This window comes from Homo sapiens, chromosome X (genome assembly GCF_000001405.40).
Source record: "Homo sapiens chromosome X, GRCh38.p14 Primary Assembly".
Lineage (NCBI taxonomy): Eukaryota > Metazoa > Chordata > Mammalia > Primates > Hominidae > Homo > Homo sapiens.
The window spans coordinates 70499556-70522501 of NC_000023.11; the positions used below are offsets into that span (position 1 = coordinate 70499556).

Sequence of the window (22946 nt, forward strand, 5' to 3'; positions counted from 1 at the left end):
GATGTGACTCCATTAACAGTTTGTTAGGTTCACTGTCTCCTCTACCAAGTTTGGCACCCTCTGCCATGCTTTAGCTCAGGAAACCCCACCTTTCTAGTCCAGTTTAAGCTAAAGCAAATAGCCCCCTGTGTGAGACCTGGAGATTGGAAGAGAAGTAGGCCAGACAAACCGCTTCCCAACTGCTTGTTTTCTCCCACTTACTTGAAAAAAAAAATGGAGTGGCCCAGTGACCCACCCAGATGAGAATGGACCAGTCAGTATTTTTTGGTTTGGGGCGGATCACTGCCCCTGGGCCACAAAGCATTTCCTTTCTTCCTTCAGATACTACCCGGCCTCGACGTGATAATGAGGTGGATGGACAAGACTACCACTTTGTGGTGTCCCGAGAACAAATGGAGAAAGATATTCAGGACAACAAGTTCATCGAGGCGGGCCAATTTAATGATAACCTCTATGGGACCAGCATCCAGTCAGTGCGGGCAGTTGCAGAGAGGGTAAGTGTACAGGAGATGGCCTCAAAGGGGAGGCCAATGCTTATGCCAAGGTTCCACTTGGATCCTTATCCTTCCAACACAGGAGCTGCCCAACAGTGCTGCTGACCAAAGCCATAGCACATCTGCATACTCCCAGCGCCTTGACGAAGCTATCTGTCTCCTTCATACAACTCACCCCAGAGCATTACCCAACAGGGAATAGGGGGCCCTGGACAGATGTGGCCTTTTCTGGGTAATAGGAGCAAAAAGTAGGGCCTGTCTACTTCAGAGATCGAATTTCTTAGGCCACTTTGGGTGGCCCTCGTGCCCCTCCCCTCACCCCCACCCCCGGCCAAGGTGGATGTTTAGAATGTCACTGGATTTCTGCTTGGGACTTGGTGAATAGGGAGTGGCTGGGCTGTTACAATCTCTGCTTTTTCAGGGCAAGCACTGCATCTTAGATGTTTCCGGCAATGCTATCAAGAGACTGCAGCAAGCACAACTTTACCCCATTGCCATTTTCATCAAGCCCAAGTCCATTGAAGCCCTTATGTAAGTGTTGAACTGAGAACTCAGACACACCAAGCTAAGATCGGGTCTGGAAGGGAAATGGAGAAGAAAGTGATTTGCTGGGCAGAAACTTGAAAGAAACTCTGTGCCCCAGCTCTGGTCACTGGGCGCTCCTGTTTTGAGGGCTTGTGCATATGTTCATGGTTGGACTTTTGAACGCAGGTTTGAGGAGTTAGCTACGGGCCACTGCTGCTCTGAGAGGGCAGCTTAGCAGATTTTTAGGGATCCTGGAATAATCCTTTATGGTTAATCAGAACATAAGATCTGGTTCAGAACTATTTTTCTTCTGTCTTTGGCAGGGAAATGAACCGAAGGCAGACATATGAACAAGCAAATAAGATCTATGACAAAGCCATGAAACTGGAGCAGGAATTTGGAGAGTACTTTACAGGTAAGACTCCTGCTGCCCTGCGGGGGGTTCTGGGGAACTAGCCAGGTACCTGTTTCTATAAGTGTCTCAAAGAGGTGTAGACAGAATGTAGAAACCTTGCACGGAGTTTCCAGTTGCTTTTAAGTTTTTGAGCACAAACCTTTCCAAAGCACACAAGTTCCCCGTGTCCAGCCATAGCAGTTCAGCCAGTTTATAGCATAAACCACTCACCAAATGCTTCCTTGAATTGTTGGTTTGTTCATTTTGTCTTGTCCTTACTAGATTGTAGGCTCCCTGTATTACTCTGTCTCCCTCCGTTTCAGCTCCACTCCCCCTCCCCCAGTACTTTGCTTTGCATGTTTAGGTGCTGAATAAACGTTTGTTGATGATGATGATTCCTCGGTGTGCTGTTCAAGTTGTCTGTTGGGGTGTCTGTCTGTCTGTCTGTGTGTGTGTGTGTGTGTGTGTGTGTGTAAGGTCAGTTCCTGAAACATTGGGAAGGTTTCTATGTAATACGTTCTTCACCTTTTGAAGTACAGTGACATATATATACATAAATATATGCAAGGCAGTGCCGAATCCATTCTAGCTGGTGGTGACACTAGGTTAACTGTGTAAAGAATTCATAAATGTCCTCACACACCTTGGGTCTTCAGAGCTCCCTTTACCATCAGCATCCATGTCCTTGTTTGCTGGGCTGACCTCTGACATACAGCAGATGTGATGGGCCCAGGAGCGCTGCCTCTTGCCAGAAATTGTGGCTTTCAGTTCTTTCTGTGGAGAACTGCGATTTTCCAAATCTTTTAGTAAGGCTGCTTTAGAATAACAAGCTGCTGGCCTTATGGCACCCAAGAACAACATGAACTGCAAGGTCTGGCACATAGTGGGTGCTCAATAAACATCTTTTGAATAAACACATTTTTCTGGTCATTACTACTTAGTCTCACTGTCTCAGTGAGTTGACTTCAAGCCCTGGACTTGGGGTACCTTGTTGGTTGCCCTTACTGCCCTGAACACACAGGCAGCCAGCCAGTGAACCCAAGCCCAAACCCATACTCCTGGGAACATGTCCTTCATGTGAGGGGTGAGGGGGTGGAGGGGGGACTTGTAGGATTGTTGGGAGAGGCAGGATTGCTGGGTTTGGGGGATGTGCTATGGACCACAGTAATAATTTTGTTTTCCTCTTCACTTTAGCCATTGTACAGGGTGACTCACTGGAAGAGATTTATAACAAAATCAAACAAATCATTGAGGACCAGTCTGGGCACTACATTTGGGTCCCATCCCCTGAAAAACTCTGAAGAATCCCCTCCAACCATTCTCTTGTGAACAGAAGAAATCAAGTCCCTCTTCCCTCCTCCCTCTTCATTCCTGTCCCCATGGGGAGAACAAATGCTACTGTTCTTGTCCCCTTTTTTAGATATGTCAAAAAAAATTAAGTTTTCTAGTCCTGTTCTTTTTTTTTTTTTAAGTTTTTGTTTGTTTCAGTTTATTTTTTGGGATGATGCCATCTCATTCATCATGTGACTGTGCCCATTCCTGCATGGACCTTTCCCAAGCGCTAGCACAGGTGCAAAATCCATCAGAGCCATTGTTTTCATAAAAACCAAGCAGAAGTGAAGAGAAAAGAGGAGGACTGATGGAAAGACAGACTCTGGACAGCTGCACGGCTTGTGAAGTGAGCTAAATGCACCACATGATGAGATGCTCCTGGGCATTTCTCCCTATCTGTACTGCTGTCTTGCAGCTCTGAACGGTGCAACGTAATGGCGACAGAAAGTATCTTATTTATATATAGATATATATATGTAATTTATATAAAATATATAGAAATTATTATATATATATATTATACACTCTCATATAATATATATATATTCACACACATTTGGGTTAGAAAATCTATGGAGACTTCATCAATGGTACTATGTTATTAGAGAAATGCTTTAATTTTCATATTCCAATCAGATGGCATCTTCTATCCCAGCTGGTTGGGAAGGGATTGAAGATGGTAGCAAGTGCTGCACTAAGGGCACTCGCATTTGGTCATTCTCTTGAGAGCTAGGAGGGGTCAGCCTGAGGCCGGAGAGGAAGGGCTTTTGCCTGGGGTGAGAGGGTGAGAGACTTGACCTGAAAGCAGCTGCTGCCCCTGAGGTGCAGCCAGAGTCCTGTGTGCGGACAGAGAGAATGGCTAATGATGCTCCGCGTGGAATTGCCTATTGTTTTATGCCACCTGATGTGTCTGCATGAGAGGTTTCCTTTTTGTTCCTTTTTAAGCTGCTGTTAAACCAAAACCATGTTGTGCTACTGTGTCAGCCTTTTCATTATTGCAAATTTTACTTTTACTATTTAAGTGAATGCATAGAATCCAATTTGCCAAGGTTCTAAAGGCTTATGAGGTCCTGAAGGAGCCAGGCCTTGTGATGGAGTAGGTGACACAGGCCTGGTTGTCCTGTCAGCAGAAGGGAAAGCAGGGGCTGGGCTGAGAGGAGGACACGGAGGGCTCTGCTGAGGTTCCTTCCTGGGTTCCACCAACAGGGACAGGGAGTCACTTGCCTTCCAGTTCTGTGCTGGGATGGCGGGACAGCACTTGGCTTGCTTGGCCAGCTGCGTCATGAGTTTGATTTGGTTTTTTTTTTTTTGCAGCTGCTTCATATGCTCTGCTCCAGCCCCTCCCCAACAGCTGGTAGCTTATGGTTTCTTCAAGAGGAAAGTAGACTTTATGCTGTACATTTGAGCTGTAGAGCTAAGATTCGCTTACTGGTGAGCTGTGAAACCTTGTTGCTTTTTCCCAGAGTCTGATGGCAGTGACTGTGATCAAGGGAATCTTCACCGCCACAAGTGCAGGCAGCAGGTGTGGTTCAGGTCCCCCCCCACCCCACTGTGCTCCTTTGAAGCCAACGTGCCTCCCTCGCCTCCATACTGGAGGGACGACGCAGGGGAGAACAGAGAAGTGCTTGGCCCTAGGATTGAGGCACTTGTTTCCTAGCCCGCTGGGTTAGGGCTGGTGCAAGCGAGGCAATGTTGAGGATGCTTTAAGCACTACCAGCCGAATCCGGGAACTCTGTTAACAGTTGTCCAACCAGCAGAATGAGGCTAACTGTATAAAGCATGGGACCCAGGATGAGGATAAGGAAAGGACAGCGGCTTTCCCTGGGCAGTACAATGGCTTGAAGGCAAAAAGGGATAAAGTGACAGCCGACTGTGACTCTGGTGAGGAGGGGTGAGCAGGGAGGTTGATTCTCTGATGTTAACTAAGTGGCAAAGTCTCAACCGTGCTCAGCCCTCCCCCTCCCAGGGAAGAGAAACAAAGATTCAAAGTAAGCATGATACTAGTGGGTTTACCAGTGTTTCTTCCAAGGAGACATATATTTTTTAATAAACGATAGTTGCAATGAACTGTGGCTCAGAGACCTTCTTAAAGTAGTTGAGAAGGGAGGGCGTGGGCAAAGCAGTGGGAAGAACATCCCAAACTTTTGGGGGCCAGAGGGCTCTCTCCTTAGTGATGATCAGCTAGCCGAGCTGGGCCGTCCTGGGGATCGGTACAGCTCCCTGGGGTGGTGACAGGCCCTTTGTGAAAGTTGTGTGCTTGGTCTTCCACCCCAGCCCCAGACACTGCTTCAAATAGCACCAACCAGATGGGAGTCCACATCTGTGGTGGCAAAATGCTGACATTTTCCCAAGAGGTACACAAGGTGGGAGAGGCCTGCTGTAGCAGAGGTGTGTGTTAGAGAAAGCAGGGGCCTGATTTAGTAGCAGAGAACTGGGTGAGAAAAATGGCCAGAGAAAGTGACCTGCCAGCTACCAGTGTTTCCGAAAATGAGGGTGGGATGGGCCCATTTGCAGAGCAGGACAGCAGTCATCCCCATAGCCCTCTGAGGAGGGGAGGGATGCTTAGAGCAGGCAGTTCTGGCAGTTCTGACGTGGCAGGTGCCATTGCAACTTGTGCGGAGGAGTCTTAGGAAGTGCTGTCATAATTCATAAGGTCAAGAGCAACATCTGGATGAATGAGCCACCTGAAATGTGTGTGGGCTGAGCCACAGGAAGGGTGAGTCCTCTTGCTTGTGGTGCTTTATGGTGTGCAGGTTGCTTGCTTTCCCACATTCTCTCATTTGCTTGAAGGCAGCCTAACAAAAGGGAGTCCCCAAAGAGCTCCATGAGAGCTTAAGAAAATTCATCTCCTGAGGACAAAGAGAACAAAGATCTGTCCTGTGGTCACACTGTTGAGGCTCTGTCTTCACAGCTGATGTTCTCCTAGTGGAGGTACAGCTGAAGAACATTCAGCCCCAGCACGAGAAGATACAGAGCAACTTGGAAACCCCAAAGGGAGACACACCCTTAACACTGCCGTGCTGTGCTGTGCCGTGTCCTGAAGGAGGAGAGAGCCCTATCTCCTCCTGGTTTTGTTGCTGACATTGCAGCTGATCATGCCTTGACTCCTTCATCTCTAACAGAGGAAGAACTGTATTATCAAACCTTATGGTCTACCCATGAATAAATAAAATATTTGTTCAAGCACAAATGACCAGCTTTGTCTTAAGTCGAAAGTGCTTCTAGAAATCAGCTAATGAAAACAAAATCCTTACCTGCAGCAAGTGTGGAAGTCGAGTAGCTCAAGGGCGGAGCTAAGAAAGATGCAGAAGCAAGTGGGAGTTGAGCCGCAGGTTTGGGAGGAGCCTAGAGGGGAGGGGAAGTATCCTAAGCAGGCCAAGGCCAAGCAAAAAAGTGGGACTGAGAAGGGGTGCCAGCTCAAGCAGAAAAGCCAGCACTAAAGGCCAGTGGAGCCCTTTCTTCAGGGATAATCCTTGCTTAATACCAACCACTGCAATTAGGTGAGAAAGTGTTGAGAGAGCTGGTAATTTTCTCAAGGCAAGCTGACGAATTAGCACTGAAGTCAAAAGCGATCCTGGATGCCCGACAACCTCAACCTGGGCCTTGGAAGTGTTCATTCAGTCTCAGCATTCCCGAGTTTTGTATTTCATCCCTGTTCCCACCTAAGATTTCATGGCCTTGATTCCACTAGTCCTTTTATCCATCTCCAGCCATTTCCTTGGCACCTCTAGGACATTTTATCATCATTGCAAATAACACTCTGAAGCTCAGATTTGTTTCCTCAAAAGGTTCTTCCCCTGTCACTTCCAAGAAATAGTATTGGCTCCTGCATACCTCGGTTCCTCCCCAGTGAACAGGGTGTCGATACCTCATTGCTTTGCCAGAAAATAGCAAAGCTTCTTTAACAAGCCCCAGCTAGATTTTATCTGCAGAGCTGTTCCCATTGTGCACAATGTGATGCCCACTGGCTTCTTCCATGTTAGACCGAATGAACTACCCGTGTGGCCTTCCCTCCACCACCACTGGTAGTCTAAGCACACGTACCTAACACTTTGAAGAACTGGAAAGCGGGTGGTTTGAGAATGGGCTTCAGACCTGCGTTCTCCCAGTGAAGAGCATGTGTGAGAGGATACTCTGTTGTCTGGCCTTCCTGTCTGCCTATGGCCAGTCCTGCCCAGGCTGACAGAATCATCTGCCTCACATGCCCTACCCTTCCCATGGGTCCTGCCACCCACAGGGAGAAGTTGAAGTCCCAGCTCCTTAGCATAGCCCTTCCACCATCAGGCCCCAGGCTTTCTCTCCTGTCTCTTCTGCTGTGCCCCCTTCTGTTCTACGCATTTGAGTTCCCTGAATGCACCACAGCCCTGGGTCTTGGCTCATCCTTTTTCTGTATGCCCATAAATGCCCTTGCTGCTGCCCCATCTTGCTTAACCTGGAAGACTGTTTGAGAGACCGAGGGTAGGGGAGAGAGACAGAGAGACAGGGTCTCATCTGTCACCCAGGCTGGAGTGCAGTGGTGTGATCATAGCTCACTGCAGCCTCTCTACCTCCCAGGCTCAAGTGATTCTCCCATCTCAGCCTCACGAGTAGCTGGGACCCCAGGCGTGTGCCACCAGGCCCAGCTAATTTTTGCATTTTCTGTAGAAACGGAGTTTCACCATGTTGCCCAGGCTCGTCTCCAACTCCTGGGCGCAAGCAATCCCCCTACTGTCTCACCTTCCCAAAGTGCTGGCATTACAGGCGTGAGCCACTGCGCCTGGCCTCCTCTTAATATCTCGAGACTCAATTCAAGAATTCCCCTCTCAGTGCTCACTTTCCTGAACCACCACCTCTTCTTCCCTTTCACCCTGTAGGTAGAATTGACCTTCCCACCCTGAGTGCTGTCTTATACCCTGTAAGGACTTTGGTCATCACTATAGCAGCTCATATTTATTTCCTGCTTGCTATGTGCTGTACGCATACTAATTCACCTGTTGCTCAAAACAGCCCTAGAAGGCAGGTACTCTTTACTCTTTTTTTTCTTTTCTTTTTTTTTTTTTTTTTTTTTTTTTGAGATGGAGTCTCTGTTGCTCAGTCTGGACTACAGTGGCACTATCTCAGTTCGCTGCAACATCCGCCTCCCGGGTCCCAGCGATTCTTCTGACTCAGCCTCCTAAGTAGCTGGGATTACAGGCGCGTGCCACCACGCCTGGCTAATTTTTGTATTTTTAGTAGAGATGGAGTCTCTCCATGTTGGCCAGGCTGGTCTTGAACTCCTGGGCTCAAGTGATCCACCTGCCTCGGCCTCCCAAAGTGCTGGGGTTACAGGTGTGAGCCACCACGCCTGGCCCAGTTACTCTTATTATCCATGTTTTCCAGATGGGGAAACCAAGGCACACAGCTAATAAGTAGCAGAGCTATGAGCCCAAAACAGGCTGTCTGGCTGTAGCAGCTGTGCTCTTCAGCACACCAGGCCCAGGCTGCATCTCACTTTGCTCTGCTTAGAACATTTTCTTGCCCCATCTCTTTGCATCTGTCTTCCTCTCCTAGACTCCTCGTTGAGAGCAGAGACTATGTCCTGTTCACCTTTATACCCCCCGCACTTAGTACAGTATCTGGCACATAGTAGATGCTTGGTAAAAGAAAAGAGCTGCACTGGTCTTTGGCTCAAGCTTGGAGGGAAGTGATTTGACCAGGTCCAAACCTGTGGCGAGTGTGAATTATTTTGGTTTGTTTTATGGAGAGCTTCTTTTCTGAAGCCACTGCCGCTTCCTCTGGGATTTCACTCCATCATTATGACTCCTCTTTTTCATCTTCTTCATCCATTTCTGATCCTTTATTGCTCCTTCCCCTTCTTTTCACTCTACTGTCTTCTCACCCAGGGTTGAACCTTTTACCCGCTCTGCTCTCCTTTACTACCATCACTCGTTTATGCAACACAAGTTGATCAAGCATCTAGAAGCCCTCAAAGACCAGCCATTACCTTCCAAGCATGAAATTCCAAGACCCTAGACGGGAAAATGCCTTGCTCTCCCCGATGACTTCACTTCTCTCCCATCCTGCCCCACCCCTTCCATGGGCTCCTCCCACCTACAGCTCGGTTCCCTCTGCTCTCTTCCCCCACCCCTAAGTGCTGCCATTGCTCTAGTCACCCAGGTTTAAGCCCTGATCTCCCCACTCTGGTCATCATATCCGATCTCCTACCAAAATGTGTGGATTATTTGCAATGTCTTTTCAATCCAGTCCTTTGTTGTCATTATCACTGCCCCTACCCTTGTAGTGACAAGAGCTACTTCTTGGTGAGCACCTGCTGATAAGCATTGTGCGTGGTGCTGGAAAGACAATGGCAAATAAAGCCTGTTTTCAAGGGGCCCATCATCTAGTTGGGGGCGGGGGACAGCAAAGCAGGAAATGACTAAATACATAAGTACACATTTGAGTGAATGCCATGAAGGAAGTACATAGGATACAATGATAGAGGCTAATACTTAGAAAAGGTGCCCAGGGACAACTTCTCTGAGGAGATGAAATTCAGGTTGAAACCTGTGAGATAAGCAGGACCAGCCTGGTAGGGGAGGGGACGTGGGTGTTGGGGAGGGAAGTATTTCACACTCCACTGGCCCTAATCTGCTTGTCCAGCATTATCTCCTGATACTTCTCTACAAACCAATCTAGACTCTGAGTTTTTACCCATGAGCAAGACCTCTGTCTGGAGTGTTTTCAGTCCCCATCTCTTATTTAATGAAACCCTTCAAGCTCCAGCTCAAATGTCACCTTCCATGATCATGTCACTGATCATGGCAGAGGAGCTTCCCCTTCCCTCCTTTTGAACCGCTCTAGCAGTTGGTACTGAACACACTCTGTTCTTGCATGGTAGCAATTTGTCAATAATACACTCTCCAACCAGTCAAAAAGCTTCTAGAACGCTGGGGTTGTATCTAGTGTATCTTTCTATCCCTCACAGCACATGCCTTGAACATGATTGATACTCGATAAATGATTTGTGAATGAACTTCCCCTTTCTGAGCCTCACTATCTTACTCTAAAACATGAGGAAGTTAGACAAAGAATCTCCAAAGCCTCTCCCAGCTCCCACACTTAATGATCATGATAAAGTAGTAGAATTCTAAAGGGCATGTGCTATGCCGAATCCCTCACAAAAAGCCAGTTCACACTTTTTGTGAATTTGCAGTTAAAAAAACCAAATGGTGACACAGATGACATAAAAGGCTTAAACAGAGCTGTCAAAGAACATGGCGCTTGAGCACATTCGGTTTATACACAATCAGACACTACAGACGGACAGGCTTGGTGCCTGCTGTGAAGAAGCAAAGAACACCTGGGACATGCATGGACTGGGACCAGGGGAAATGGCTTTTTCCTAGCTGGGCAGAAGGGTCTCATTCCAGGACAGCAGGACAAAATAGACAACTTTGTGATAGAATCACTTCTTTCAGTCGGGCAAAGAAATGGTGCTAGGGAAATATGGGAATGGAGGTGCCAAAAGTACCACAAGATGGAACCCCTCCTAAGTAGAGTTGAAGTGCCCCCAGTGGCTCCTGCTGAGAGGCATTTGAGATGGGTGGGAGGGTGGTGTGGGGGCTGGGCACATGGGAGCATAGTCATAGGTGGGAGACATAACTAGGAGGTGTGGAAACTGCCCCTGTGCGCTGCAGAGTGGAGTAACCAGGTTTGTCTTTTAGTTGGAGCAATTGCTGGCTTTGTGGCTGTTAGAATCAGTGGAAGCTTTTCAACTATCATCTTTTCTTGAGGAAATAAAAAGGCTCGCAAACTAGGTTTGCAAACTGCCACCCTCTTCTGGCTTATCAGAGAGGTTGGGAGAAATGCAAAAAAAAGGATAAAAAAATAAGGAGGTAAAAGTAAACAGATCCTGCTGTTAAGTAGAGGAATGTCAAAGGAGGAAATGACAGACACATGCTTCAGGGTCTACTAGAGTTCACGTCACTAAGGGGTGAATTGGGTCATTCTACAGAAGAAATAATAAGAAGCAATAGAGGAGGTAAAGGGGAATAAAAACCAGAGTCAAGAATATGAGTAGAAGACAAAAAAAAAAGAGAGAGAGAAAACCCCTGCATGACTAGAGCTGCCCTATAATAATAGGCCGGAAGCCTTTCCAGGAGGCAGTAAATAGAGATCTGGAGAATGAGAGAATGAAGAGAGAAATGTCAAGATTTAGCGGTGGCAGGTGACCCTGCCAGACAGCAAGAGCAGAATAATGACAGTAAACATTAGAAAGCGCCTGTTCTGTGTCAGGTATTACTCGAAGAGCTTTGTGTGTATTTACTCACTTTCTCTTTACAAGTCTGTGAGGGTAGTTGTGGACATCTTATAGATGAGGAAACTGAGGTCTGCAGACATTTAATAACTTGCCCAAGGTCATATAACTCCCAAGTGGGAGAGCAAGGGTTTGAACCCAGACAATTTGGTTCCAGTGTGGGTGCCTGTACTCTGCTGACTTGCCTAGTTCTGCTGCTACTTTCCACCTTGTACTTCTTTGTTGTCTAGCTTCTGCTCTCTCACTACCCCACTGAAATTGTGCCTAAAAGTCAATATGACTTCCAAGTCACCAGATCTTTTTTTTTTTTTTTTTTGAGACAGTTTCTCACTCCATAACCCAGGCTGGAGTGCAGTGGCACGATCTTGGTTCACTGCAACCTCCACCTCCCGGGTTCAAGCGATTCTCCTGCCTCAGCCTCCCGAGTAGCTGGGATTACAGGCACCTGCCACTATGTTGGCCAGGCTGGTCTCGAACTCCTGACCTCAGGTGATCCACCTGCCTCAGCCTCCCAAAGTGTTGGGATTACAGGTGTGAAGCACTGCGCCCAGTCCCAAGTCACCAGATCTTATGCCTTCACAGACCTCATACCTACCATGCCGGGCTAACTTTTGTACTTTTAGTAGAGACGGTTTCACTGCAGTTGCCGCAATTCAATTCTTCATTACTTCCATTCATTCAACCAACACACAATTCAGCCTTTCTGTTATATTTGGCACTGTCAATTATTCTCTCCATGTGTCAGACCCTGTGGATACAATAGTGAGCAAAACAGATATGGCCTCTGCCCTTACAGAGTTTACTGTCTTGGAGCTAGTCTGATATTAAATAAATAATCACACAAACTGATAAGTGCTGTTAATGAAAATTGTGGACCTTTATAAAAGGGTGACATAGGGCCAGGCACAGTGGCTTATGCCTGTAATCCCAGCACTTTGGGAGGCCAAGGCGGGTGGATCACAAGGTCAGAAGTTCGAGACCAAATTGGCCAACATAGTGAAACCACATCTCTACTAAAAATACAAAAATTAGCCAGATGTGGTGGCAAATGCCTGTAGTCCCAGCTACTCGGGAGGCTGAGGCAGGAGAATCACCTGAACCTGGGAGGCAGAGGTTGCAGTGAGCCGAGACCGCACCATTGCACTCCAACCTGGGTGACAGACTGAGACTCCATCTCAAAAAAAAAAAAAAAAAAAAAAAAGAAAACAAAAGAAAAGAAGAAAGAAAAGAAAAGAAAAAAGGGCAACATAGGGAGATTATAGTGGCCTCCAAGTTAGTCTTCCTTCCTCTACCTTCTCCCTTCTCCAATCCGATTTACCCAGTGTTGCCCAGGTTAATACTCCTGGGGTCCATTTCTGACCCTGCCACTCCTAAGCTCAAACTCCTTCAGTGGTTTACACAATAAAGTCTAAACTCCTTAGGTAGATATTCCAGACCCTCCATAGTCTGCTTCCAACCTGCCTTTTTAACCTCTTCCCACTATTCCCCTTTAAGGACTCCATGCTGCAAATACACTGAACCCACTGCCCCTCACACAAAGCTATGCACCTTTGCCATGCTTTTCCTTTTGCCTGGAATACCTCTCCTTTCCTTCCTTATGTCCAAATCCTATACATCTTTAAAACCCAGTTCAACCTTCTCCACAAAGCATTTTCTTCTTCTTATTATTATTATTTAGAGATGGAGTGGCTGGAGTGCAGTGTCGCGATCTTGGCTCACTGCAAACTCCACCTCCTGAGTTCAAGCGATTCTGATGCCTCAGCCTCCCGAATAGCTGGGATTGTGGGTGCACACCACCACACCCGGCTAATTTTTGTATTTTTAGTAGCGACGGGGTTTCACCATGATGGCCAGGCTGGTCTTGAACTCCTGGCCTCAAGTGGTCCTCCTGCCTCAGCCTCCCAAAGTGCTGGGATTACAGGCATGAGCAGTGACTGGGTGCCCTGCCTGCAAAGCATTTCCTTATTCCCTCCTTTGGAATCTCAGTACTTTCCCCCCACTTTCATAGCACCCACCCTCTATCTTTAATATTGTAATCATTCTAATACAATAAATGGAAGCCTAACCCCTTCCCCTATCAGACTATAAGCTCATTGAGGATCTAAACCACAGTTATTCACTGGATGAATGGACAGATGAATGAATGAATGAATGAATGAAGTTGGTGACTTCCTGATTGATGATATGGAGGGAGCTGTAAATATGCAGACATAACATGACTATCGCCTTTGATCATGTATTTTCATTGCCATTTAACAAAGAGCTGTGGGAAACCCATCAAGTCAAACAAATGCTGCCCATCTCCACCTTCCTCCACCTCTTATTCTAGCAGTTGTCCCTCTTGTAGGGATGAGTGGCTACACCAAAGGGGACATGGAAATGATCTTCAAGGACTATAAAGTTGTGGGCAGAAAATTCAAGGACTTGGGGGACCAGGTGGTTTTGTTTTCCTCTTACACAAGAAAATTGGTACTTTGGAATAAAAAAGAATATATAGGCTGGGCATGATGGCTCACGCCTGTAATCCCAGCACTTTTGGAGGCCAAGATGGGTGGATCACCTGAGGTCGGGAGTTCAAGACCAGCCTGGCCAACATGGAGAAACCCCGTCTCTACTAAAAATACAGAATTAGCCAGGCGTGGTGGGGGGTGCCTGTAATCCCAGCTACTCAGGAGGCTGATGCAGGAGAATTGCTTGAACCTGGGAGGCGGAGGTTGCAGTGAGCAGAGATTGTGCCATTGCACTCCAGCCTGGGCAACAAGAGTGAAACTCCATCTCAAAAAAAAAAGGATATATATATAATACATAATATATGTAATGTATATTATATATAATAATGAAATGAAATATATATATAATAATGAAATATATATATAATGAAATGGCTGCCTTTTGAGATGGAATTTTAAAAATTTATTTATTTATTTATTTTTGACATGGGATTGTCCTATGTTGCCCCAGCTGGAGTGCAGTGGCTATTCACAGGCAGGATCATAGTTCACTGCAGCCTCAAACTCCTGGCCTCAAGCAATCCTCCCACCTCAGCCTCTGGAGTAGCTGGGATATGGGCACAGTGGGGTGATCCCCTAGAGATGGAATTTTAGAATAGGATTTGTTTTGTCTGGATCATGGTTTAAAATACTGGATTGCTGGGCTCTTGGCTAAGGACAGAGTTCTCTATGATAACTGGGAAAAATGTGTTTACCGAGAGCCGTGTTGATCTGATAAAGAGAACTTTAAATTGAAAACGGAAGGGAAAGGAAAAAAGTGTCCTGATAATATTATAAAATCAATTGCTCTGGAATGATATCAGATATGACAGCAAGAACAGTACTGGGGGAGGTGCCCATTAAGGCACAGAAGAATATATCTTGGAAAAGAGTCATAAATAGAACTTACAGCTTCAGCTGTCTTGGTATAAATACACAGCACATGCATTAGTTTGAACCGTATGAAATTGCCATTATCCAACTGTTTTTGACTACAAAAATGGTGACCTCATATGGTTCAACTTAATATTATACAGTGAACTTGAATTTTTAACTCATGGTGATAAATACTAGCTAAGAGGTATCACTAAGATTTGGGGGAATGAAACTTACAACTGGAATTTGGCATTTGAAGAAGCCTAAGAAGGCGTCCTTTAGAATGGGAGATGACGTTGTGCTATATGCATAGAAATCCACAAAGGTGGGGATATAGCCCTCTACAGAGTTTTGGTGAAGTTAAAAGGAGAAAGGGCCGGGTGCGGTGGCTCATGCCTGTAATCCCAGCACTTTGGGAGGCTGAGGCGGGTGGATCACGAGGTCAAGAGATCAAGACCATCTTGGCCAACATGGTGAAACCCCGTCTCTACTAAAAATACAAAAATTAGCCAGGCGTGGTGGCGGGTGCCTGTAGTCCCAGCTACTTGGGAGGCTGAGGCAGGAGAATGGCTTGAACCCAGGAGGTGGAGGTTGCAGTGAGCTGAGATCATGCCACTACACTCCAGCCTGGTGTCAGAGCCGAGACTCCATCTAAAAAAAAAAAAAAATGGAGAAAGAAAGAGGGGAGTTATATAGTGTAACATACCACTGCCCTGCAAAATGGAGGAAATGGGTGACATACTCCTGATGCACATCACAAAAATGGCACAGGGCAAGATACAGCAGCAATGAGGGACTTTGCTCAGAGTTGCTGTAAGTTTCCTTTTCTTAAAAGCAGGACATTTGGCCAGGCACGGTGGCTCACACCTGTAATCCCAGCACTTTGGGAGGCTGAGGCAGTTGGATCACCTGAGGTCAGGAGTTCGAGACTAGCTTGGCCTACATGGTGAAACCTCATCACTACTAAAAATACAAATATTAGCTGGGCGTGGTGGGACGCGCCTGTAATCCCAGCTACTCGGGAGGCTGAGGCAGGAGAATCACTTGAACCTGGGAAGCAGAGGTTGCAGTGAGCTGAGATAGTGCCATTGCACTCCAGCCTGGGCAACAAGAGTGAAACTCGGTCACACACACACACACACACACACACACACACAGAAAGAAGGACATTTAGAAATTCTTTTTTTTAAAATTATACTTTAAGTTTTAGGGTACATGTGCACAATGTGCAGGTTTGTTACATATGTATACATGTGCCATGTTGGTGCGCTGCACCCATTAACTCGTCATTTACATTAGGTATTTCTCCTAATGCTATCCCTCCTCCACCCCCCCCCACCCCACAACAGGCCCCGGTGTGTGATGTTCCCCACACTGTGTCCGAGTCTTCTCATTGTTCAGTTCCCACCTATGAGTGAGAACATGTGGTGTTTCGTTTTCTGTCCTTGCGATAGTTTGCTGAGAATGATGGTTTCTAGCTTCATCCATGTCCCTACAAAGGACATGAACTCATCCTTTTTTATGGCTGCATAGTATTCCATGGTGTATATGTGCCACATTTTCTTAATCCAGTCTATCACTGATGGACATTTGGGTTGGTTCCAAGTCTTTCCTATTGTGAATAGTGCTGCAGTAAACATATGTGTGCATGCATCTTTATAGTAGCATGATTTATAATCCTTTGGGTATACACCCAGTAATGGGATTGCTGGTTCAAATGGTATTTCTAGTTCTAGATCCTTGAGGAATCACCACACTGACTTCCACAATGGTTGAACTAGTTTACAGTCCCACCAGCAGTGTAAAAGTGTTCCTATTTCTCCACATCCTCTCCAGCACCTGTTGTTTCATTACTTTTTAATGATTGCCATTCTAACTGGAGTGAGATAGTATCTCATTGTGGTTTTCATTTGCATTTCTTTGATGACCAGTGATGATGAGCATTTTTTCATGTGTCTGTTGGCTGCATAAATGTCTTCCTTTGAGAAGTGTCTGTTCATATCCTTTGCCCACTTGTTGATGGAGTTGTTTGATTTTTTCTTGTAAATTTGTTTGAGTTCATTGTAGATTCTGTATATTAGCCCTTTGTCAGAAGAGTAGGTTGCGAAAATTTTCTCCCATTTTGTAGGTTGCCTGTTCACTCTGATGGTAGTTTCTTTTGCTGTGCAGAAGCTCTTTAGTTTAATTAGATCCCATTTGTCAATTTTGGCTTTTGTTGCCATTGCTTTTGGTGTTTTAGTCATGAAGTCTTTGCCCATGCCTATGTCCTGAATGGTATTGCCTAGGTTTTCTTCTAGGGTTTTTATGGTTTTAGGTCTAACATTTAAGTCTTTAATCCACCTTGAATTAATTTTATATAAGGTGTAAGGAAGGGATCCAGTTTCAGCTTTCTACATATGGCTAGCCAGTTTTCCCAGCACCATTTATTAAATAGAGAATCCTTTCCCCATTTCTTGTTTTTGTCAGGTTTGTGAAAGATCAGATGGTTGTAGATGTGTGGTGTTATTTCTGAGGTCTCTGTTCTATTCCATTGGTCTATAACTCTGTTTTGGTACCAGTACTATGCTGTTTTGGTTACCGTAGCCTTGTAGTATAGTTTGAAGTCAGGTAGCGTGATGCCTCAAGCTTTGTTCTTTTTGCTTAGGATTGTCTTAGCAATGCGGGCTCTTTTTTGGTTCCATATGAACTTTAAAGTAGTTTTTTCCAATTCTGTGAAGAAAGTCATTGGTAGCTTGATGGGGATGGCATTGAATCTATAAATTACCTTGGGCAGTATGGCCATTTTCATGATATTGATTCTTCCTACCCATGAGCATGGAATGTTCTTCCATTTGTTTGTATCCTCTTTTATTTCATTGAGCAGTGGTTTGTAGTTCTCCTTGAAGAGTTCCTTCACATCCCTTGTAAGTTGGATTCCTAGGTATTTTATTCTCTTTGTAGTAATTGTGAATGGGAGTTCACTCACGATTTGGCTCTCTGTTTGTCTGTTATTGGTGTATAGGAATGCTTGTGATTTTTGCACATTGATTTTGTATCCTGAGACTTTGCTGAAGTTGCTTATCAGCTTAAGGAGATTTGGGGCTAAGATGATGGGGTTTTCTAAATATACAATCACGTCATCTGCAAACAGGGACAATTTGGCTTCCTCTTTTCCTAATTGAATACCCTTTATTTCTTTCTCTTCCCTGATTGCCCTGGCCAGAACTTCCAACCCTATGTTGAATAGGACTGGTGAGAGAGGGCATCTTTGTCTGGTGCAGGTTTTCAAAGGGAATGCTTCCAGTGTTTGCCCATTCAGTATGATATTGGCTATGGGTTTGTCATAAATAGCTCTTATTATTTTGAGATACGTTCCATCAATACCTAGTTTATTGAGAGTTTTTAGCATGAAGGGCTGTTGAATTTTGTCAAAGGCCTTTTCTGCATCTATTGAGATAATCATGTAATTTTTGCCTTTGCTTCCATTTGTGTGATGGATTACATTTATTGATTTGTGTATGTTGAACCAGCCTTGTATCCCAGGGTTGAAGCCAACTTGATCTTGGTGGATAAGCTTTTTGATGTGCTGCTGGATTAGGTTTGCCAGTATTTTATTGAGGATTTTTGCATCAATGTTCACCAGGGATATTGGTCTAAAATTCTCTTTTTTTGTTGTGTCTCTGCCAGGCTTTGGTATCAGGATGATGCTGGACTCATAAAATGAGTTACGGAGGATTCCTTCTTTTTCTATTGATTGGAATAGTTTCAGAAAGAATGGCACCAGCTCCTTTTTGTACCTCTCATAGAATTCGGCTGTGAATCCTTCTGGTCCTGTACATTTTTGGTTGGTAGGCTATTAATAATTGCCTCAATTTCAGAGCCTGTTATTGGTCTATTCAGAGATTCAACTTCTTCCTGGTGTAGTCTTGGGAAGGTGTATGTGTCCAGGAATTTGTCCATTTCTTCTAGATTTTCTAGTTTATTTGCGTAGAGGTGTTTATAGTATTCTCTGATGGTAGTTTGTATTTCTGTGGGATCGGTGGTGATATCCCCTTTATCATTTTTTATTGCATCTATTTGATTCTTCTCTCTTTTCTTCTTTATTGGTCTTGGTAGTGGTCTATCAATTTTGTTGATCTTTAAAAAAAAACACAGCTGCTGGACTTATTGATTTTTTGAAGGGTTTTTGTGTCTCTATCTCCTTCAGTTTTGCTCTGATCTTAGTTATTTCTTGCCTTCTGCTAGCTTTTGAATGTGTTTGCTCTTGCTTCTCTAGTTCTTTTAATTGTGATGTTAGGGTGTCAATTTTAGATCTTTCCTGCTTTCTCTTGTGGGCAATTAGTGCTACAAGTTTGCCTCTACACACTGCTTTAAATGTGTCCCAGAGATTCTGGTATGTTGTGTCTTTGTTCTCACTGGTTTCAAGGAACATCTTTATTTCTGCCTTCATTTCATTATGTGCCCAGTAGTCATTCAGGAGCAGGTTGTTCAGTTTCCATGTAGTTGTGTAGTTTTGAGTGAGTTTCTTAATCCTGCGTTCTAATTTGATTGCACTGTGGTCTGAGAGACAGTTTGTTATAATTTCTGTTCTTTTACATTTGCTGAGGAGTGCTTTACTTCCAACTATGTGGTCAATTTTGGAATAAGTGAGATGTGGTGCTGATAAGAATGTATATTCTGTTGATTTGGGGTGGAGAGTTCTGTAGATGTCTATTAGGTCCACTTGGTGCAGAGGTGAGTTCAAGTCCTGGATATCCTTGTTAACCTGTCTCATTGATCTGTCTAATATTTACAGTGGGGTGTTAAACTCTCCCATTATTATTGTGTGGGAGTCTAAGTCTCTTTGTAGATCTCTAAGGACTTGCTTTATGAATCTGGGTGCTCCTGTATTGGGTGCATATATATTTAAGATAGCTCTTCTTGTTGAATTGATCCCTTTACCATTATGTAATGGCCTTGTCTATTTTGATCTTTGTTGGTTTAAAGTCTGTTTTATCAGAGACTAGGATTATAACCCCTGCTCTTTTTTGTTTTCCATTTTCTTGGTAGATCTTCCTCCATCCTTTTATTTTGTGCCTATGTGTGTCTCTGCGTGTGAGATGGGTCTCCTGAATATAGCACACTGATGGGTCTTGAGTCTTTATCCAATTTGCTAGTCTGTGTCTTTTAATTGGGGCATTTAGCCCATTTACATTTAAAGTTAATATTGTTATGTGTGAATTTGATCCCATCATTATGATATTAGCTGGTTATTTTGCCCATTAATTGATGCAGTTTCTTCCTAGCATCGATGGTCTTTACAATTTGGCATGTTTTTGCAGTGGCTGGTACGGGTTGTTCCTTTCCATGTTTAGTGCTTCCTTCAGGAGCTCTTGTAAGGGAGGCCTGCTGGTGACAAAATCTCTCAGCATTTGTTTGTGTGTAAAGGATTTCATTTCTCTTTCACTTATGAAGCTTAGTTTGGCTGGATATGAAATTCTGGGTTGAAAATTCTTTTCTTCAAGAATGTTGAATATTGGCCCCCACTCTCTTCTGGCTTGTAGAGTTTCTGCTGAGAGATCAGCTGTTAGTCCAATGGGCTTCCCTTTGTGGGTCACCTAACCTTTCTCTCTGGCTGCCCTTAACATTGTTTCCTTCATTTCAACCTTGGTGAATCTGACAATTATATGTCTTGGGGTTGCTCTTCTAGAGGAGTATCTTAGTGGTGTTCTCGGAATTTCCCCTGAATTTGAATTCTGGCCTGCCTTATTAGGTTTGGGAAGTTTTCCTGGATAATATCCTGCAGAGTGTTTTCCAACTTGGTTCCATTCTCCCCATCACTTTCAGGTACACCAATCAAACGTAGATTTGGTTTTTTCACATAGTCCCATATTTCTTGGAGGATTTGTCTGTTTCTTTTTACTCTTTTTTCTCTAAACTTCTCTTCTCACTGCATTTCATTAATTTGATCTTCAATCACTGATACCCTTTCTTCCACTTGATCAAATTGGCTACTGAAGCTTGTGCATGCGTCACGTAGTTCTCATGCCATGGTTTTAAGCTCCATCAGGTCATTTAAGGTCTTCTCTACACTGTTTATTCTAGTTAGCCATTTGTCTAATCTTGTTTCAAGGTTTTTAGCTTCCTTGCAATGGGTTCGAACATCCTCCTTTAGCTTGGAGAAGTTTGTTGTTACCGACCTTCCGAAGCCTAGTTCTGTGAACTCATCAAAGTCATTCTCTGTCCAGCTTTGTTCTGTTGCTGGCGAGGAGCTGTGACCCTTTGGAGGAGAAGAGGTGCTCTGGTTTTTAGAATTTTCAGCTTTTCTACTCTGGTTTCTCCCCATCTTTGTGGTTTCATCTACCTTTGGTCTTTGATGATGGTGACCTACAGATGGGGTTTTGGTGTGGATGTCCTTTTTGTTGATGTTGATGCTATTTCTTTCTGTTAGTTAGTTTTCCTTCTACCAGTCAGGTCCCTCAGCTGCAGGTCTGTTGGAGTTTGCTGGAGGTCCACTCCAGACCCTGTTTGCCTGGGTAACAGCCGTGGAGGCTGCAGAACAGCAAATATTGCAGAACAGCAAATATTGCTGCCTGATTCTTCCTCTGGAAGCTTCGTCTCAGAGGGGCACTCTGCTGTATGATGTGTCAATTGGCCCCCACTGGGAGATGTCTCCCAGTTAGGCTACATGGGGCTCAGGGACCCACTTGAGAAGGCAGTCTGTCTGTTCTCAGAGCTCAAACACTGTGCTTGGAGAACCACTGCTCTCTTCAGAGATGTCAGAGAGTTTAAGTCTGCAGAAGTTTCTTCTGCCTTTTGTTCAGCTATGCCCTGCCCCCAGAGGTGGAGTCTACAGAGGCAGGCAGGCCTCATTGAGCTGTGGTGGGCTCCACCGAGTTCGAGCTTCCTGGCCACTTTGTTTACCTACTGAAGCCTCTGCAATGGTGGATGACCCTCCCCCAGCCAGGCTGCCACCTTGCAGTTTGATCTTGGACTGCTGTGCTAGCAGTGAGCAAAGCTCCGCGGGCATGGGACCTGCCGAGCCAGGCACGGGATATAATCTCCTGGTGTGCCGTTTGCTAAGACCGTTGGAAAAGTGCAGTATTTGGGTGGGAGTGTCCCGATTTTCCAGTACAGTCTGTCACGGCTTCCCTTGGCTAGGAAAGGGAAATCCCCTGACCCCTTGTGCTTCCTGGGTGAGGTGATGTCCCGCCCTGCTTCAGCAGCTCACCCTCGGTGGGCTGCACCCACTGTCCAACCAGTCCCAATGAGATGAACCAGGTACTTCAGTTGGAAATGCAGAAATCACCAGTCTTCTGAGTTGATCATGCTGGGAGCTGTAGACCAGAGCTGTTCCTATTTGGCCATCTTGGAATGGGCCTTTTTTTTTTTCTTTTTGAAACAAAGTCTCACTCTGTCTCACAGGCTGGAGTGCAGTGGCATGATCTCAGTTCATTGCAACTTCCGTATCCCATGTTCACACGATTCTCCTGCCTCAGCCTCCCATAGCTGATATTACAGGCGCCCTCTACCATGCCCGGCTAATTTTTGTATTTTTAGTAGAGATGGGGTTTCACTATGTTGGCCAGGCTCATCTCGAACTCCTGACCTCAGGTGATCTGCCCTCCCTGGCCTCTCAAAGTGTTGGGATTACAGGTGTGAGCCACCTCGCCTGGCCTAGAAATTCTTTACTTGTCTTGCTGACGATATTACCCCTCAGAACGTAAAGAAATCAACAAGAGGGACTGTTTGCTGTTTATTACCGAATTCTGACCAATTAATGAAGAACTGATGGGTGAAGTGGAAACTTGTGGAACCATATGATGTCAGTTTGTGAGAGCATAAGGCTAGACATAGTAAGGTATTTTGCCTAAGAATTTAAGAGGGCAGACTTCAAAGTTCAGAGAAAAGAAAGGTAGCATGAGGGAAAAGAGTGAGGACAGGTCTGATACATATGACTTAAAATTTTTTTTTTTTTGAGACAGAGTCTCACTTTGTCACCCAGGCTGGAGTGCAGTGGTATAATCTCAGCTCACGGCAACCTCTGCCTCCCAAGGTCAAGTGATCCTCCCACCTCAGCCTTTTGAGTAGCTGGGACTACAGACACTCATCACAACACCTGGCTAAGTTTTGTATTTTGTTGTAGAGACTGGGTTTCACCATGTTGCCCAGGCTGGTCTTGAACTCCTGGGCTCAAGCAATTCACCTGCCTCAGTCTCCTAAAATGCTGGGATAATAGGTATGAACCATTGTGCCTGGCCAGATGTGACTTTAAATCATGGCTATGCCATTTACCAGCTGTGTTACCTTGGTTAAGTTACTTAAACTCTCTGAGCTTCACTTTCTCACAGGAATCACTAAGGAGAAAGGGAAGAGAGAGAGTGAAAGAAGGAGGGAATGAAATGGAATCACCTACTTCACAGGGTTGTTATCTAATTAAATGAGATAGCACATGTGTAAGTGCTTAGCTCTTAGTGGGTATGCATTAATTGTTAGTTTTCCTGCACTTTCTACCTGGCTGCCTTCCCAAAAGGGTTGAAAGGCTCTTAAAAACTAAATTCTGACCATATATGTGTGAATTATTTTAAGGAACACGTAAAAGG

General features: G+C 45.1%; 2 protein-coding genes across 22 annotated transcripts in view, besides 1 other annotated feature; one reads left to right on the forward strand and one right to left on the reverse strand.

Moving 5' to 3' along the window:
- DLG3 (discs large MAGUK scaffold protein 3) overlaps nucleotides 1-5935 on the forward strand; it is a 60656-nt gene extending 54721 nt beyond the window's left edge. For all 18 annotated transcript variants that reach the window (XM_006724625.3, XM_011530883.2, XM_006724626.3 and 15 more), the window contains 4 exons: nucleotides 322-494; nucleotides 916-1025; nucleotides 1343-1434; nucleotides 2608-5935. In XM_006724625.3, the coding sequence (XP_006724688.1) occupies nucleotides 322-494; nucleotides 916-1025; nucleotides 1343-1434; nucleotides 2608-2714 (482 nt within the window). In that variant the 3' untranslated portion in view covers nucleotides 2715-5935. The remainder of the gene's footprint in view (nucleotides 1-321; nucleotides 495-915; nucleotides 1026-1342; nucleotides 1435-2607) is intronic.
- Nucleotides 8741-9303: an enhancer, noted in NCBI's record as "NANOG hESC enhancer chrX:69728146-69728708 (GRCh37/hg19 assembly coordinates)". NCBI's record gives its function as "activates a minimal SCP1, AML or CMV promoter by ChIP-STARR-seq in naive H9 embryonic stem cells {active_cell/tissue: H9 hESC(naive)}" and the evidence as "EXISTENCE:reporter gene assay evidence [ECO:0000049][PMID:30033119]".
- Nucleotides 11672-22946, reverse strand: part of TEX11 (testis expressed 11) — a 397485-nt gene continuing 386210 nt past the window's right edge. For 3 of the 4 annotated variants that reach the window (XM_017029650.1, XM_017029651.2, XM_017029652.2), the window contains one exon: nucleotides 11727-11768. In XM_017029650.1, coding sequence (XP_016885139.1) covers nucleotides 11742-11768 — 27 coding nt within the window. In that variant the 3' untranslated portion in view covers nucleotides 11727-11741. Of the gene's footprint in view, nucleotides 11769-22946 lie in introns of all 4 variants that reach the window. The other variant, XM_017029649.1, reaches the window with a different exon arrangement.